Raw genomic sequence first — 18550 nt, 5'->3', positions numbered from 1 at the left:
ACCTTCATATCTAGAAATAATTTATATGCCTTCTCAGGGTGTGGGAGTATAGGGGTATGAATTGTGAAAAATTGAGTCTCCTTTCCAAATGTATATGCTGTTTTAGGTCGAAAACACAAGAAGTCAAGAATACTAGATGAAAATGTTATCCTTAAAGTTAAAGGGCTCAATATTTTTTATTGCAAATGGTGTTCTAATTTTTTCTGTTATTTATATCATATATATTATTTAACAAAATAATTGATTTTGGGTTATTGTACAAACTGCATTATTGTCTGAATTTCTTTTGTCTTGCAAATTAATTTGCAAGAATAAAATAATTTTCTATTTTATCCTTTGTATTTCCAGTGTTAAAAATTACTGTGGTCTTTATTAAAAGTATGTGTTCAATTTAGTTAAAAAAGATTGTTTTAATGTAAAATGTTTAGTACTTTTTTCCCAAAAGAGAATGTCACAATTTAGAAGCAATCCAGAGTTTGTATTTAAAGGACTGTTTATAAGAAAACTATATGGAAAAAGTTGTCTGAATTACAACATTTTATTATTTTGATGTTTGAAATATTTTTAAAATTCTTTTATCATAAAGTCATAAATGAGATAAGGATATTTATGACCACTATTATCACTCACCTTTGTTTTAGAAGTTCTAACCAATGTAGTTATCTCAGAAAAATAAATCAGGAAGATATAGAAATCACTATTATTTATAAATGATATGATTGACTACTTTAGAAAAAGTTAATAAAAATTAAGTAAAAGGGGCCGGGCATTGTGGCCTACGCCTGTAATCCCAGCACTCTGGGAGGCTGAGGTGGGCAGATCATGAGGTCAGGAGATCGAGACCATCCTGGCCAACATGGTGAAACCCCATCTCAACTAAAAATGCAAAAATTAGCTGGACGTGGTGGCACACACCTGTAATCCCAACTACTTGGGAGGCTGAGGCAGGAGAATCTCTTGAACCCAGGAGGTGGAGGTCGCAGTGAGCCGAGATTGTGCCACTGTACTCCAGCCTGGTGACAGAGTGAGACTCCGTCTCAAAAAAAAAAAAAAATTAAGTAAAAGGGTCTGTGGTCAATCCCAGAAATAATCAAATGAATACAGATTAAACCGAAACATGAGATTTGCTTTTACCTTTCAGGTGGACAATATCTCATATAATAAGTACACACTTATTAAGTGTTTATTGTACATCAAATATCATATTAACTCATTTAATTCTAATAATAACCCTTTCAGGTAGGTACAATGATACAATCCCCATTTAACAGAAATCTGCAGAAATGTTGAGTAGCCTTCCAGAGGTCATAGAGCATGGCAGAGCTGAGATTTGAACTCAGCTATAAAATTCTAGTTCTAGAACCTATACTTTTATCCACTAAGCTGCCTCCAAAGATGGATAACATTCAGTGTTGGTGAAGGTATTTGGAAGAAAATAGCTACCTTCTCTGCACTGCAGATATGGGAATGCTTATCATGCCTCCTTTTCAAAAGGCATTCGGTAACACTCATCAACAGCTTAGGATACAGCTATTTTGCTTCTAAGAAATAATCCTAAGGAAATAATCAGGCAAGTGTGCAATAATGAATGTGAGGGTGTGTTTACAGCATAGTTTACAACAGTAATCTAAATGACCATCTTGAGGGAATTGTGTAACTAAATTATGGTATATACATCATACAGTGGAATGTTAAATAGCTATTAAAAAGGCTGATATAGTTTCATGTTTATTAATATGAATGCCCACTTTACATTTTGTGTGAAAACAAAGCAAGCTACAAAATAGTTTTGCTCTATAGTATCATTTCACCTTATTTATACATCAAAGTGGCTATACATTAAAGTAACTATACATGTATTATGCATGTATAAATCTGGCGAGGCGGGCGGATCGCTTGAGGTCAGGAGTTTGAGACCAGCTTGGCCAATATGGTGGAACCCTGTTTCTACTAAAAATACAAAAATTAGCCATAAATTGCTTGAACCTGGGAGGCAGAAGTTGCAGTGAGCTGAGACCGTGCAACTGCACTCCAGCCTGGGCAACAGAGTGAGTCTCTGTCTCAAAAACAAACAAACAAACAAACAAAACCCATAGAAGTATTTCTTTTTTCTGTTCCCCCAACTCTTATTATTTTGTGGTAAAATTAGGCCGACAATTTCCAGTTTGGTTTTTTGCCTTCTGAATGTGAGGCAGTCTTACATGGAGCTTTTCATGAAGCTCCACGTCACAATTTTGTTTTTGAAGTTTCAACTTTCAAGGTTATATTGATTCTCTATCCCCGAACTGCTCCAGAAATCTAGGTGTGCTGTCATTAGGTGGGGCTAGTGAGCTTTGGATGTTCTAAACTGCAGGTCCCACCCTCGTTTGCCTGAGCTTCCTGATGAAAACATGACTTTTAGGTAATATAATTTATAAGAAAATAGAACTCTGTTAAAGTAACTAAATATAAGCTATCACTGACTGTTAAAGCAGATGATATTTTAAGCTGCATTTAAAATCAACAGATGTCATTATTAATCAGGAATCTTTTGTCAGACAGTCAGAATTTTTCTCTGAGATGCTCTGTATGGATCCTAATTACAATACTCTTCCTAATTACAATACTCTCCTTCCTAAGTGTTAGGAAGAGCTTCCTAAAGCTTGTACTCCACAGCACACCCCATCCTGGGTTCAGTCTTAGCCGATATTGAAGTGCTTTGAGGCAGTTCATTTTCTACTCAAACTTTTAGTTCACATGCTTAAAACTAATGTAGTTGGCTGCGTTCTTTCAAAGTCTTCTTTAGAAGTAATTGTCTGATGCATTTTAGCATCACCCCAGTCCAAGACCCTAAACTGATATGATGTAAAAGAAGAAAGAGTCACTACTGATTTATTGCAGAGAACCCAAACTCTTGGTGTTAGAGATCTTGAAATTCTGTGTCCTTAAAGAGGAATGAAGCCTACCCCTTCTTTCTTATGTGAGTGGATTAATTTGCTTACATGGTCTCTGTAGGCAGAACAAATACAAAGGTCTTGCTGAGTTGCCTAAACATATTCCTTAGAACAGAACTGCTATAAAAAGCAAATTTTACAGAAAATAAGCTTTAAAAAAAATTTTGTCAGAGGCCACAATTTCATCATGGAGTCTCACTGGTTCTTACAGATGGGGTTTAGTCTCATTTTTTGTATTCCCAGCCCTGGCATTGATTTGCTCAAATTAGAAGATTATCTTATTGGGCAGTCTCCCATTGATAAGCCCTGCTCTGGAAATATACCAGGCTACATTTATTGGGCCCATGTTTTTTTTTTTTTTTTTAGTGCTTTGGGGTCAGTCACTCATTTGATCATGCATAGAAAAATCCCAGAATTGTTTTCTGAGGAAGATTTTGCCCAGAAATGATCCCTCCACCACCCTCCATGCAGGAGAGGAGTGGTCTTTTGTGCAGGTGCTCATGTTGGTTAGCTTTCTTCATCTTCATAAAAGGATGAAACCCTTCCAAAGTGGCTTTGCACTGGATCACATGTCAGATGTTCAAGGTCAGATTTATATTAGTGGATATTACCTTGAACTTTCTGTTGCCAGTTCTTACAAGAAATTCATTATAAAGAATTACTTGGAAAATAGGAAGCCCAGACATGGCTTTAAGAGTTAAAATTTAAGTCTAAATTTACCCTTGGACTGAGTTGGGAGTATAGTTGTTTATCCAGCACCATTCTAGTGAGCCACACATGTTAATTTTTAAAAATAGCCAAATTCAAAACAGATGAAATTAATTTTAATAGTATGTATTATTTAACTCAGTATATCTAAAACACTACCATTTATAATCTTGTAAAAACTTATGATCAATATGTCTTATTGATGAGATATTTTAATTTTTTTGTGCTAATTCTTTAAAATCTGGTGTGCATTTTATACTTGCAGCATATCTCATTTTAGGCTAGCCACATTTCAAATGATCAATAGCCACATGTAGCTAGGAGCTCCTGTAATGGACAACACAGTGTTGTACCATTACTGAGCTATGTATGCTTGTTCCTGAATTGGGCCTATTGGTGTTAGGCCAATGAGATGACATAAAAATGGTAATACAACACTATAGTATTTGATGTAGTTAGAAGAATGGAGACTAATACTTCCTACACCATGAAGACCAATTGGAGAAAGTTCTCCAAATAAGAAATAAATCATTTCTTATTTATTTACTTATTGAGACGATGTCTTGCTCTGTCACCCAAGCTGGAGTGCAGCGGTGTGATCTCGGTTCACTGCAACTTCCGCCTCCTGGGTTCAAGGGATCCTCCCACCTCAGCCTCCCAAGTAGCTGGGATTAGAAGTATGTGCCACCACGCCTGGCTAATTTTTGTATTTTTAGTAGAGACGGGGTTTCACCATGTTGGCCAGGCTGCTCTCAAACTCTTGACCTCAGTGATCCTCTTGCCTTGGCCTCCCAAAGTGGTTGGATTACAGGCATGAGCCACTGCGCCCAACCATCAGGAAATCATTTCTGTTTATCTTATGGATGGGGAATGGGTCTGTGATTCTTGTAACTCTTTGGATGTTAGAAAGATCAGAGATAAATTAATGGCCTGTTTCTAGTGTCTGAACAGAGGAGAAAAGCATGAGTTCTGGGTATAAACTTTACCCCACATTTCTTTTCTTTTTTTTTTTTTTTTTTGAGACGGAGTCTCGCTCCATCACCAGGCTGGAGTGCAGTGGCGCGATCTCAGCTCACTGCAACCTCCGCTTCCCAGTTCAAGCAATTCTCCTGCCTCAGCCTCCTGAGTAGCTGGGATTACAGGTGCGTGCCACCACGCCCAGCTAATTTTTGTATTTTTAGTAGAGACGGGGTTTCACCATGTTGGTCAGGCTGGTCTTGATCTCTTGACCTCGTGATCCACCCGCCTCGGCCTCCCAAAGTGCTGGGATTACAGACATGAACCACTGTGCCCAGCCTACCCCATATTTCTTAAGCTTGCTTTCCTTTTTTGACAACTTTCAGCTTGTTGAATGTAATACTGCAGTGTTTCAATTCCTTTTAATTAATAAAAATATTTTATTTCAATTTTCACAATGTTTCAATAATTATATCTGTCTAAATTTTATGGGAAATAGAATTTAAAAATTCTTAGGCAAATCTCTCGGTTGACTTTTGGTTCATTTTAAATTTGTTTAACAAATTTGGATATACTTGGAGAGATAGTGTCAGTTATTTGGTCTAACTTGGGACTACATATAGATAATACCTGGTGATTTCTTATGTCAGCAGTTCTCAAATTTCAGCATTTATCAGCATCAAATGGGGAACATGTTAAAAACCTGATATTTGGGCTGGGCGTGGTGGCTCACATCTGTAATCCCAGCAGTTTGGGAGGCTGAGGCGGGTGGATCACCTGAGGTCAGGAGTTGGAGACCAGCCTGACTAACATGGTGAAACCCTGTCTCTACTAAATGCAAAAAATTACCCAGGCGTGGTGGCACATGCCTGTAATCCTAGCTACTTGGCAGGAGAATCTCTTGAACCCGGGAGGCAGAGGTTGCAGTGAGCCAAGATTATGCCATTGTACTCCAGCCTGGGAAACAAGAGAGAAACTCCATCTCAAAAAAAAAAAAAAAAAAATCTGATATTTGGGCAGCATCTAACAGGTGGCTTATGATCAGTAGATTTGGAGACTAGACAATGGTGGTTGAACATGCTGTCTGCTGTTATATTCCTGGTAGCTGCCTCTTCCAGCTTTCTTCTTCCTCTCATCTCCAGAAAAAATGCTGTAACCCCACAATCCTTTTCTTTCTTTCCCTGCCACTCTCTGGCTAAGCACCGTGTTTTTATCGGTCAACTCAGATTCTTTCCCTTCTGCTTCACCTATTATCTAGGTTTTGTGTACTAAACAGTGGGACATATCCATTGTATTACTGAAGTTCTTTACATCTATGACAGAAACCCAACCTAAACTCTGCAACGCAAAAAGGGCAAAGTTTTGGATGCATAGGGATGGACTTTGCCTTAGGCATACTGGGTTAAGTCTGGAGGAATGGCCCACAGCTTTCTTTCTGGTTCTCAGCCTGGCACACCACCAAGGCCCCCATACTTGCAGAAAGCCAGGGGAGGGACAACTGTAGGCAGAGAAAATGCATATAAGAAGAGGAGACAAGGAGTGCTAATATTTATGATTCCAAGTCTCTTCTTTATTCCTGTTTCCCATGCATTATGACTGAAGGAATCACACCATTGCAAAGGGTGGGTTCTTGTCTTATCTTTCTATAAATTTAAAAAAAAATGGATTAATGAGGTAATGGATAAGTGTGTAGTGTTTGAAAAGATTTTTCCTAATTACAACCAGTTAAAACTTTTGCATTTTAATGATATTTTAATTCATTTGAAATTATTATTTAAGGCCATGGTATTTTTACATTTTAGTAGTGCAGCATTCTTAGCAAAAATAATTTATTTATAAACTGAATGGATTTATTTCTTTGAATAGATTTTAATCTATTAATGAAAATGCAGCTTCTTTTAGTTTATTGAATTTGGGAGCAGGAATCCAATTTCTATAAATATAATGAGTTAAAATAATTTGACTCACTAAAACAAATGAAATCTTTCAGCATCCATAGAAAGAAATCGGCAATTTTACTTATGGTCATATAGTACTATCATTTTGTAAGGATTATCTAATTATCTATTCTGCAGAAATCATTCCATCAGACTTCAAACCTTGCTTCATTTATACCTTCTCATGTGTTCCATTTTTAGTGGATAGTTACCACAGTGTTTCTGCCCCTGCACTAGATACATTGCTAAACTAGTGAGATGAGACAGAGGTGGGGAAGACCACAGACCATACAACTCATAGTTTCAAGGTCAGCTGGAGAGCTATAGTAGGTCCAAAGGATTAGTTCTGTGCATAATGTACTGGGGTGGGAGGAAGCTGGTACTGTAGCCCAGCGAAATTCCCAGACTTGGCACCACAGTTTCTTCCTTTTTCCCCATATCTTTAGGCTAAGAGACCATCACCATCTTCCTTTTTAACACATAACCAGGTGCCACGGACACTCACCCCAACATTGAAGTGGGAGGCAGAACTTCACATCTCAACTTACTGTAGGATTCCTGAGTACAAGTGTTCACATGCTTGATTTACTTTGACTCAAGGAGACATCCAAATACTTATTATTTTTTCCCCCAAAAAATGGATAGTGAGAGAGGAAGGGCAAAAAGGATGTGATTTGTATTGAGCTGCTACTCTGGAAGGGTTCCTAGCAGCAGAGCTACTCCTTCAGGCCTCTTTAATTATGCCTGCTTATCAACGAGTTGTCAGGGTCCATGGAGACTGTCTTGAGAGTGGGAAATTGCTACTTCTCAACAAGGTGATGGGCTTCTAAAGTTGATTTAAATCTGTGGCTCACAACAAATAAATAAATAATTGCTTTCTATATCTGCAAAGATAACAGTAGGTGAACCACAAATGAGAGTGAGAAAGTGAGGAGACACAGCAGAGCCAATCAGGCAGTTCTGCTTTGGCGGGGGAGGCTGCTTGGCTCCTGTTTATGGCACTGATTTTAAAACCTGTAAACAGTTGATTACGTCTTTCTCCCCAAATTTTGTGGATAAACCTGGGTTCCATATGATATAGCTTTCATAACCCAGTTGTAACCCAGAAGCCACAGGAGGCGTAGCATATTGGAATAAAATCAGACTTAAAAGACCTCAGAGTAGGTCTCAGCTGTGTCATCCACTAGCTTGGTGCCTGTCTGGAAGTCAAATCTAGGATTAAGAGCTGCATGATAACATGGGAGTGAGGGATGGGAGCGGAGGATAGACAGGAGTTACCAGGAAAGCAGGCCTCTTAAAGTAAATCTATTTACATTGATTGGGAAGCCAAATTGCAGAGTAAATAGGGAGACAAAGGGCTTGATCCTGACAAAAGTTCAAATGATGGGAATCAGTTTATTTTATCTTACACCAACATTTAGGTTATAATCACAAATATGGCCTGATCATTAGAAGGAACAAATAACAAATGAAGTGTTGAAACTTTTTGTTTGTTTTTGAGATGAAGTCTCCCTCTATTGCCGAGGATGGAGTGCAGTGGCACAATCTCTGCTCACTGCAACCTGTGCCTCCTTGGTTCAAGTGATTCTCCTGTCTCAGCCTCCTGAGTAGCTGGGACTACAGGTGTGCGCCACCACGCATGGCTAGCTTTTTTTGTATTTTTAGTAGAGATGGGGTTTCACCATATTGGCCAGGCTTGGCTCGAACTCCTGACCTCGTGATCTGCCTGCCTCGGCCTCCCAAAGTGCTGGGATTACAGGTGTGAGCCAATGCCCCTGGCCCAAAGTGTTGAAACTTTTAGAGGGTTGGGATAATTCATTTTTTTCAAGAAAACTGTGTGATAGCACAATACGATATTTGATTTTCTCACTACAGTCATAAAGAAAGTCATATTGCAAAAACTATTTCAAGCCTCTGTTAACTTTCCCATGGCTTCTGTCTAATCCTAAGAGAGTCAAATTATCCTTAATTTTTTTCTCTTTAAGTTACCAATTGTTCTAACTTTGCCAGATCCTTATTACTCAGTGGTTTTGCATGTGACTTTAAAATCACTTTGACTTTTATGAATTCCTGAATCTTTTACCAGTTCATGTAATTTCTCTTTGCCATCAGTTTATTGTTGGAACATCTAACATTCAGTGAGAGACTAGCAGAAATGGGGTTGAAAGGGGTTGACAGGGGTTGACTCTCTCATTGTATGGGAGAAATGGTTGAATGGGGACTAATTTTACGTCTTCAGTTCATCGTTGTGTGATACTTTTTGCTTTCATTGTCAGCCCGTTAATAGAGTGGAGCTGGGCCATGAACACTTAGGTCAAAAGAATCTCTTCTTTGTTAAAAAAAAACAATTGGAAAATACAGTGCTTTGTAGGTAGTCCTTTTGGAAAAGATTCCAAGCATTTTTTTTTATCCCAGTATTTGAAGTAAAATTAAACTTGGTATCAACAAGCTGGATCATGACACTGAAGAGAACTGTTTCCTTATTCACATGTTGCATATTCATTTAGTTTTTTGGTTCTTCCAGATGAGTCTTTGCCCTCATTGGGGATCTCATAAATTGAGTAGTTTATTATTATTTTGAATTCATTCTTTTTCTAGTCTTATGACTGTAAGTTCCTTCAGAATGGAATTTGTTCCATTTGTTTGTTCTAGTGCAAGAACAGTACCTCATACTTAGTAGGCATTGGATAACTCTTATTTGTATGAAAAACCAGGCAGGTTTGACACTCTTGTTTGTGACTTACATGTGCCCTTTCTTCCTAATGTGGTTATTCCTTCTTGTTGGATTCCATCCCTTCTTGCTTTTTTCTGCTTTGATGCACCTTTTGTTGATTTCTGTAGTAATGGTAAGCATCAGTTGGTAACCTCAGACTTTAAAATTTAACCTGTGTGTTTGCAACATCTGCTTACAACCATTGCATTCTGCCCATGAAATCACTTAAATTAAAGATCTTACTGTGGTGCCAAATAGTTTGTAAAATTAAAAACAATAATTGATTAATTAAGTGAAACATTATTCCAGGTGCTCTACCAAGAAAACCATGTAGGTCCAGCTGCCAACTTAGAGGTGATGTCTGTCTGTCATTTCTGACTCCTCATGAAGCATACATTCTAGGGGGAGGAGATGCAATAAACAGGTGAATAAGTCATACTGTATATTACAATATGAAAAGTGCTGCAGGAGAAAAATAAAGCAGGAAAAGGGGGTAGGTAGTGTTGGAGCAGTTGAAATTTATCATGGGTGGTCAGGGAAGGTCCCTCTGAGAGGCTGCCATTTGGTAAAACCATGAAAGAAGTAACAAAGTGAGCCATGTGCATACTGAAGAGAAGAGCAGAGGGAATAGCATATGCAAAGGCCCTGTGGTAGAGAGTGGCTGGAACATTCTAGGAGCAGCAGTGGGACTGGAGCGGTGTGAACATGGAAGGTAGTAGCAAAAGATGAGGTCAGAGAGGACCAACAGCCAGATCATGTGGGGCTTTCTAGACCACTGTAAGGGTTTTGGCTTTTTCTCTGCATGAGATAGGGGTTATTGGAGGATTTTTGGTAGAGAACAAAATGATCTAACATCTGAACAGGGTCACTCTGGCTGTCATATTGAGAATATACAAAAATCAAGAATGGAAGAGGGGAAGGAGGCTGTTCATTCAGAGGAGAGATGATGGTGGCTGGATAGAGTGAAGGTAGTGAAAGCTAATTCCTATCTATCTTTACTTTTTAGTTGTATTGTATGGCCTAGAATGCACGCCATATTTTTTAGTCGTACTCTAGTATGGCCTAAAATGCATGCCATGTTTCATGGCCTTCATATCTTTCAAGGTCCACCTCAGATTTTCTCATTAGACTTTTCTTTACTTCAGCCCCTGCTGATCATGCCCCATAATGAGCTCTCTTACTGCCTTTTGCACTTATACATTACAGTACAGAAGGCAGTTGCTTTCTATTTCTTTCATGTAGCTTGACTTTTATTTTTTGTATGCTGTAGCAAGAGCCTTATTTTATACTTTTTAGCACACAGTAGGCACTTTACTCAAAAAATCCTTTTTAGTTGGCTAATGTGGCTAATTCTAGTGACACACAATTTACCTATATAAGAAGCCTGCACATGTACCCCTGAACCTAAAGTAAAAGTTTAAAAAAAAGCCAATAATGCTAATTAAACAAGTGAATGGAGATGCTGTTAACACTGTGTCATTTTTCTGTAATGGATCTACCTTTGTAACTCAAAAATAAACTCCAAGTTTGGGGGAAAAAAAGAAAAGTCAAGATTTATTCATACTGTTGACTTTGTTCTTTTGCATTGTTATTTTCTCACTGGTAGCATTTGAAAAATAAACACTATTTGTGTAAGAGAAACAGTAATTTGTCCTCAAAAAGCTTATAGTCTGGCAGGAGAAGACATGAATCTTCATAATTAGAATATGAGGCACTGTGAAGTATAAGTGATAAGAATAATATAAAAAAGACAACTGGAATTGACATATAGGAATGTTGCCTTCTGGCTGGGTGCTCTTCAAAAAGAGAGTGTTCTTTAGGTCTTGAAGATGGAGCAGGTGGTAAGAATTGCATGGACACTGCTGGACTTGCTAAGCATTTGCAAGGGTAACAGAATAGATAAATTTGCAGGGAGAAAGTTTGCATGAAACTTTTGGTTTATTCAGGGAATTATAAAGAAATCCAGGGAAAAAAAATCCACCCTCTGCTCTCCTCCCTGACCCCCAGAGCCACCACTGAAATCTGTGCCTTCCTTGCTACTCACCTGGACTATGCAACCATTTGCTAACTTCAGATCTCAGCCTAATGAGCTTTAATGTCACTACTTGTGAGAGGCCTTCCCTGTTCACCCTTGTCCAACTTGGTTCCTTCCCTGCTCCTTTGTTCACTTCCATCATGGCTTTTTAATTACGTCATTTACTTGATTGGAAGGGTTGGCATTGAAAAAGTGCTGTAGGGAGAGAGTAGATAGATTGGCTGGGGACAATGTAAGGACCAGAGAGGTCTTTTAAGAAGTGGTGGTCTAGGTATGAAATGATGTGAACTTGGCTTAGTGCTGTTGTGGCAGTGGAAATGAAAGAGAGAAGCATTAAGGGTTAAAAATGTACTCTATGGAGTATAGACTGCATGATAGAATTGCTAGAATTTGTAGTTATGACCTCTGGTGTTTTATGGAATAAACAATTATATTGAAATACAGTTGGTCTTTTCTGGAAGCTTTTGCCAATCAGTAACTAGGAGCTTAAGTTTTGTGATTTGCTTTGCAAAGAAGACTTTCCCACCTAATGCGCTTCAGCCACCACAAAGTAATGTGGAATTCTTAAATATTTGAATTTCACTTACCAATAGTTTACCAACTTAACTACAGGTAATGTTTTGAGATGTATTCCACACAAAAGAGAAAAGATATCTTCCGCTTAAGGTTACAAAGGAGTAAAAGTTTCGTATCTTTCAAAAGGAATGAATGTAAGAGGAAATGATTCCACTTCTCTCATATAAACCATTAATAATTGTTTTTGTTTTTATTTTTGCCACAGGGTCTCACTCTGTTGCCCAGGCTGGAGTGTAGTGGCCTGATCTCGGCTCACTGCCACTACCACCTCTCAGGCTCAAGCGATCCTCCCACTTCAGCCTCCCAAGTAGCTGGGACTATAGGCGCACGCCACCATGCCCAGCTAATTTTTGTATTTTTTGTAGAGATGGGGTTTTGCCATGTTGCCCAGGCCAGGCTGGTCTCCAACTCCTGAACTCAGGCAGTCTGCCCACCTCGGCCTCCCAAAGTGCTGGGATTACAGGTGTGAGCCACAGTGCCTGGTTAGTATTTGTTAATAAACGAGCAAACCACCAAAAGTGGTTGATATAAAAGCAAAGAGTTTTTCTTGTTTTCGTTTCTTCTTTTTTGACACTTGAATAGACTATGACTTCATGTATGTTTACTGAAAAATAGGTTGGAATTTTTAAAAGGTAGTGAAAATATGTGAAGTTTTGGCTTTCATTTTCCTAATCTGGCATGACATTTAAAAATGATTCTTAAAATGAAGTTTTGCTCTTCTTAATTGACTAACATTTTAAAAGTATAGGTTAATGTAAAAAACTGATACCTCTGCCAATAAATATTGTTACAGTGGGGGCTCATCACAATCTATCCTGTATTTAGATAAATGAGTAAGAGATGTTGCCCTTGTTCTTCCCATATTTGCTAGTCTATATGCTTCTCGTTACACATTTAAGGGTCTATGATATTGGCACTGGTATTTTGTTAGTGGCTTTTTTCTTTTATCTTTGTCCAGCATTCATTTTTTATTCATCTAGTAACAGCAAACCTTCGTTTTCACTAATTTAATTCTTTTTGAGGAATCACTTCTCCCCAACTGCCTTCAGTTTTGGTAGAATTGCCCATCCATATGCCATCTCCTCTTCTCTGTAGGTCCATAGGATCCTGTCTCCTACCAGTCAGTCCTGAGCAACATCATGGAGAAAGGACGGATGTTTAGGTGGATTGATCCTGGTGGCTACTGTTACCCAAGAGCATCTTTGGTTCATTATTTTCCTTTATTTTGATTCTGTGGGCTACCTAGTATCTTTCTAGTAAATTTCCTTTCTGTTTCGGTTTATCAGAGGGGGCTTCTGTTCCTTGCAACTAAGGAGCCCTCGAAGATAACCATTTATTGTAATAAATAAATAATAGTAGGAACCATCCTTTCATATCAGAGGTCTATTTTAAATAACATTATTATATATCTTATTTGTAGAAAAATTCAAAAATTGAGTATCAAGAGGTAAAAACAATTGTAATCCCACTGTCTATAACTTGAAAAAGTATACTCTTTTTTCTATGTGTGTTATTAACACAATTTAATTATATTGTATATGTAACAGTATTTGATAATACTTAACCTTATAGCATGAACAAATTCCCATGTCAAATCTTAAAAATATGTTTTTAATGGCTTCATAATAGTCTATAAGGTAGATATGCTATAATGTAAACACTTTTCCATTGTTGGACATTTGTTTTGTTGTTAATTTGTTCTCTATTTTGAATAATGTTGTGGTGATCATCTTTTTATAACTCTTTGCTGGCATCTCTGCTTCTTTCCTTAGGGTAGAGCCCTGGAAATGAATCACTGGGCCTAAGGGTGTGAGCATACCTAAAGCTCCAGAAAGCTTTGTAGAACTATCCTCTCAGCAACATATGAGTGTTGTTTCTCACTGCATTTTCACTTGAGTACTACTGCTTTTCAATGTTGATGTTTTAGTGGACAACAATTATATCTTTTTTAAAAATGTGTTTTGATATATACTTATTGATTCAATTTTTTGGTAAAATATCTACTCATACCTTCAAAGAAGGTTTTAATTAAATAATTGAATTAAAAATCTCACTGCGTTTAAATAACTAAATGAGTTAAATATTAATGATTTTCTCTTTTTAATCTAGTTGCATATTTAATGATTTAAAGCTAAACCAACATCTTGAAAGCATTCTTGAACTGTCTTTAAAATTAACAATTTTTTGGAACTTAAAATTATTTCTATTTGTGTACATCCCTTTTCCAAATTTACATTTGGGTAATTTTTATGTTGTGGATTATAACATATTCTTTAGTAAAATTTTGGGGAAAACACGCTTTTCCTAAAGGGCAGCAGGCTGGAGGATAAATTGCATTTTCTGAGACTTTTCCACCTGGAAAGAGGAAGTGAGGGGCAGCTCCAGTTACCCCAGGTTCTCTATTCAGTTCTCATTTCCTAGCAGGTTGTGTAGAAGGACATTTTCTGGTTTTCCTAATCATTTTATTAGCATACTCTTGCTGAGTAAGCTAAGCATCAAGTTATGATTATCTATGATAAACACGGAGTTTATCTGAATGTTCATTTATACTGAATGACTGAAAATGCTCTCTCTTGCTACACACAGGGGAAATCCACTGGAGGGGGAGCTTTGGTGGAAGATTTGGTGACGTCTTTGTTCATCTCAGATGCCAATTGGCCTTGCTGGGGATGGGTTACTGCTTTCTTTTCCTATAGTTCTCACATCTCTACTTACTGCAGGCTAATTATATCTTGACTATAAATGTAGTTTTTCACCCTTTGTTTTCCTCATTTAGATAGTAAAAAATAAAAATAAAAAATCACTTGGAGTTTGAAGCATAGTATAGTTGAACAAGTGTGTGTGTGTGTGTTTGTGTGTGTGTGTTGTATGTTGTGTCTTTTGGAATTTGAAGGGTTAAACAAGTTTGTCTTTTATTATTATTGGTTTTATTTATCAATGCCAACTCTAGGAAGTTAGATCCTAGGATGCATTTCTTAAATTCTATAAAAATCCTCTGACAATGTTTTTCAGTACCTGCCCTTCAGGTGAGGTTTAGTAAATTGACATTCACCTCCAGATTCTTTAGCAAAACTATTTTCAATAAAAAACACTTGCTTAATGTATTTGTCATCTGCTACTGTCTATATCTTCTGAACAAAATCTGCTGGTTTTGGAATTGAAGTTGTATACTATGGCATTTTGTGATTTGCTTAGTAATTAAATCTCTCTTGACCTCTTGAAGAAAAATGATTTTGTTTTCAGTTGTTTGAAACAGATGTCTTTTATCTGGGAGAGCAGCATGGTGCAGACCTAATCATATTTAGAAGGAGGGTTTTTTTTAATTTTTTAAGGAGTGCTACATCATGTTAAATTGTGCCCACTGGGAATGGGACATATAGCTGCAGCACAGACTCACCCTGGGAGGGATGAGTTATCTAAGGAGCTTTAAAGGACCAGCTTTCTACTTAAGCCATATAGTGAATATTAACCTGCTTCCCTTGCCGTCGCCTTTATTTTCTGAAGCTTTTCAAAAGAACGTGGATAATTTTCTGAAGAAAATGTGTCTTTCTTATTGCAGAAGGCAATAAGAAATGTGAAATCAAGAAGCAAATTGAGAGTTCTTAGGTTTCAGTATTAGAAAATGCGCAGCAGCTGTTCTCTGTTATTGAGTAACACTGGTTTTCCCATATGAGAATATTACATTGAATAGGGTAGCTAAAACTCAAATTTTAGGTATAAAATTTAGAGTGCTTTGATTTTTTTCATTTTTATGTGACTTTGCAAATTAATTTTTGCACAGTACTTATTTACTATCAAAACATGAACTCTAAAAACTATATTACATTTCCTATAAGGGAAAAGTTAAGGTTTCCAAAGCAATTAGATAATAGTCCCTTGTTGTAATCTAAATAAAATCATTGATTTATTTCCTTTCCAGTTGGCCTAAGTTATGTAAAGTAAAACATCTGAATGAGGTTTTTAAACCCTGAAATAAGACTTTTAGGGATATATTGGCATAGTCAATTTTAATTAATACTAAGGCTGTTATTGAGCAGAGACTTGCATTTGAATATTTGTTTTATCCCCGGCCTCATAATAACCGACAATTTGGACCCACCCTCATAAGAGTTATATTTACTTGGATATATTGCATTTACTTCCATCTCACCTGAAATAATTTTGATTTTCTCAGCCCTGTCAATGTTTCTGGGATTCTGTTGTCACTTAGATTGAAAATCCACAATTTAGTCCTAATTTCACCCTCACTTTTATCCCCTATATTCAATCTGTCATCATGTCTATGTGTTCTTCCTTTGAAACATTCCTGATTGATATTTTCTTTTCATGTCACTAAAATCCGTCTTCTGCCAACAGCGCTGGGTTCCTTGACTGATCAGTTTCTCACTGGTTTCCCCACCTCTGTTTTCTTCCTGTTATAATCAGCCCTGCATAAACTCTCAGATTACGTTTCCTGAGACTTCCCTTTCCTATTTTTGCCTCTCTTCTCAAGACCCTGGAATGGCTCCCCACTCCCTACTGTTGGTCAGGTTCCAACAGGACTACTTCAAGTTCTGTGGCCAAGTTTCTTAAATTCTTGTCTCCTCTGTCTTACATCTTACACTGTCCCGTCGCTGGCTTGTGGGCGGTGGGCTCTGCAATTCTTTTCTAAGGGAGTTGTTTGGAGGTTGTCATTACTTTTTAATACAGAAACAGTTCTATAAAAGCTACGGTTGAGTTTCTTAAGCTGTAACTCAAGGCCTGTATGACCTAATGTGGCTAATTTCTGAGCCCTGGAAACCAGGAGCCATGTGGAATAGGTGGAGACAGGGGAAGGATGGACGTTTTCTTCTTCTTTTCTAAGTACAGGGTCATCTAGACTAGGCAGAACTTCTAGTGGTTTTTAATATGTAAAGTTGGTCTTCAGCATTTGCTTTCTGTTCACTGTCTTCCAAATCCTGGTGTTCCTCTCCCCAGGCTCTTAGGCATAAATAGTTACCCTAGACTAAATAATGCATTAATTAATTCAGTAGCTATAATGTTTGCCTACTAAAATAACCATGGCTACTTTTTATTGAACACTTTCATCCACAGTATTTCAATCCTTAAAACAACCTTGCATGGTACATTAAAATTACTTCCATTTAATAGGTAAATAAATTGAGGCAGGGTGAAGTTTAAATATATACAGCTACTGATTTATGTACTGACTTACAAATAACCGGTATATATTTGAATATCACTTAGGAAAAGTTTGTATCATATATGAGAGTTTGTTAAAGGAATATATAGAAAACCTCCATCCCTTCCCCACTTCATCTCCTCCCCTGACACACAAGCACCTCTGGGACACTGTTCTGCTTTTGAAGACTATACAGCTTCAGGGTAGAAGAAAAGAAGCAAAAAGAGTTATAAAAAGTTTCTGATACTTGTCAACCTCCCCATCCTCAAGTCTATCCCCAGAAAACCCTCCACCCCCGGACTGGATGTCTTCATATAACAGGATTGAACAATGATTCCTATTAGAGATTTGGCTCAAAAAGCATCTTTGTGCTAAAGTGTAATGAAAGAACTCTTGGAAAGATTAAGGAATTCTTGGTTATTAGCACATTATTGTCAGCTAGTTCAATGACATCTTCTTCTGAGCTACCTTCAGGGTCTTTCTGATCAATGGAGTTGAAAAGGAAGTGGAGGCACCTCCATGGTTTAAATCTGTACTTCCCGGTCCTGTATGTAGCTGTGGAGGACGTGAAATGTGGTCAGTTTGAACTGAAATGTGCTTTAAGTGTAAAATTCACACTGGATTTAAAAGCCTTAGTATTTAAAAAAAGAAAGAAAAAAATTAGTAACTGTTTATATTAATGTTGAAACAATAAGTTTGGCTATAGTGAGTTAAATAAAATGTTATTAAAATTTTCATCTGTTTTATGTTTTTAAAATGTGATTACTAGAAAATTTTAAATTACACCCATGGGTTGTGTTATATTTCAATTGGACAGTGCTGGTTTGGACTAATTCTCCACCTGTCCTGTGTCTTCCAGCTTTTGTTCGTCCTAGTAGCCATGCTCTGTACTATGTCTCCTCTCTTTCCTACATCTTCATTCTCTCCTCTTTACTGGCCCTTTTCTCTCAGTTTTTATTCATTCAGCAAATATTTCCTGTTTTCTTAGTTCCTATGCTGGTATTAGGAACATGCAGAATCTCTTCCATCCTAAAAACAAAACAAAACGTGAAAGCAAACAAACCCAACTCTGTCTCAATCCATGTTGCCCTCCCCACATGCCTCCTCTTCGCCATCCAGCCTTTTGAGGAAGAGCCTGGATTCTTTACCCCACTTTTACCACTCCATGCTAACTCTTCTGGCCACCAATTTTACCCACTCCTCAGTCTTTCCCTGCAGCATTTGACACTGTCCTTGGAGTCTCTCCTTCCTTGACTTCGAAGTTCTCTCTCTCTCTTTCATTTTTCTCTCTCCCGCTTTAACTTTGTTTTTAAGCATGTGACTGACTCATCAGCTTTGTGACGCTGGATGGGCCTAACCTCATGGAGCCTCAGTATCTTCTGTGTCACATTGGGGCTTGCATTCGTCAGTGGGCACTGTGGTGACCCACCCCCTCCAAGGCTGGTGCTTTTTTTTTTTTTGAGACAGAGTCTCACTCTGTTGCCCAGGCTGGAGTGCAGTGGTGTGATCTTGGCTCACTGCAACCCTTAC

General features: G+C 37.7%; 1 protein-coding gene across 10 annotated transcripts in view, besides 2 other annotated features; it reads left to right on the top strand.

The window, feature by feature from the left end:
* HECW2 (HECT, C2 and WW domain containing E3 ubiquitin protein ligase 2) overlaps positions 1 to 18550 on the top strand; it is a 399483-nt gene that overhangs the window by 137463 nt on the left and 243470 nt on the right. The gene's annotated exons all lie outside the window — the stretch shown is intronic.
* Positions 1992 to 2091: an enhancer, noted in NCBI's record as "active region_16908". NCBI's record gives its function as "activates an Ori minimal core promoter by ATAC-STARR-seq in GM12878 lymphoblastoid cells {active_cell/tissue: GM12878}" and the evidence as "EXISTENCE:reporter gene assay evidence [ECO:0000049][PMID:35858748]".
* Positions 6870 to 7029: an enhancer, noted in NCBI's record as "active region_16907". NCBI's record gives its function as "activates an Ori minimal core promoter by ATAC-STARR-seq in GM12878 lymphoblastoid cells {active_cell/tissue: GM12878}" and the evidence as "EXISTENCE:reporter gene assay evidence [ECO:0000049][PMID:35858748]".

Source organism: Homo sapiens, chromosome 2 (genome assembly GCF_000001405.40).
Source record: "Homo sapiens chromosome 2, GRCh38.p14 Primary Assembly".
Classification (NCBI taxonomy): Eukaryota; Metazoa; Chordata; class Mammalia; order Primates; family Hominidae; genus Homo; species Homo sapiens.
The sequence above is the reverse complement of the archived record's forward strand: the minus strand, read 5'-3'. Positions and strand labels throughout refer to the sequence as shown.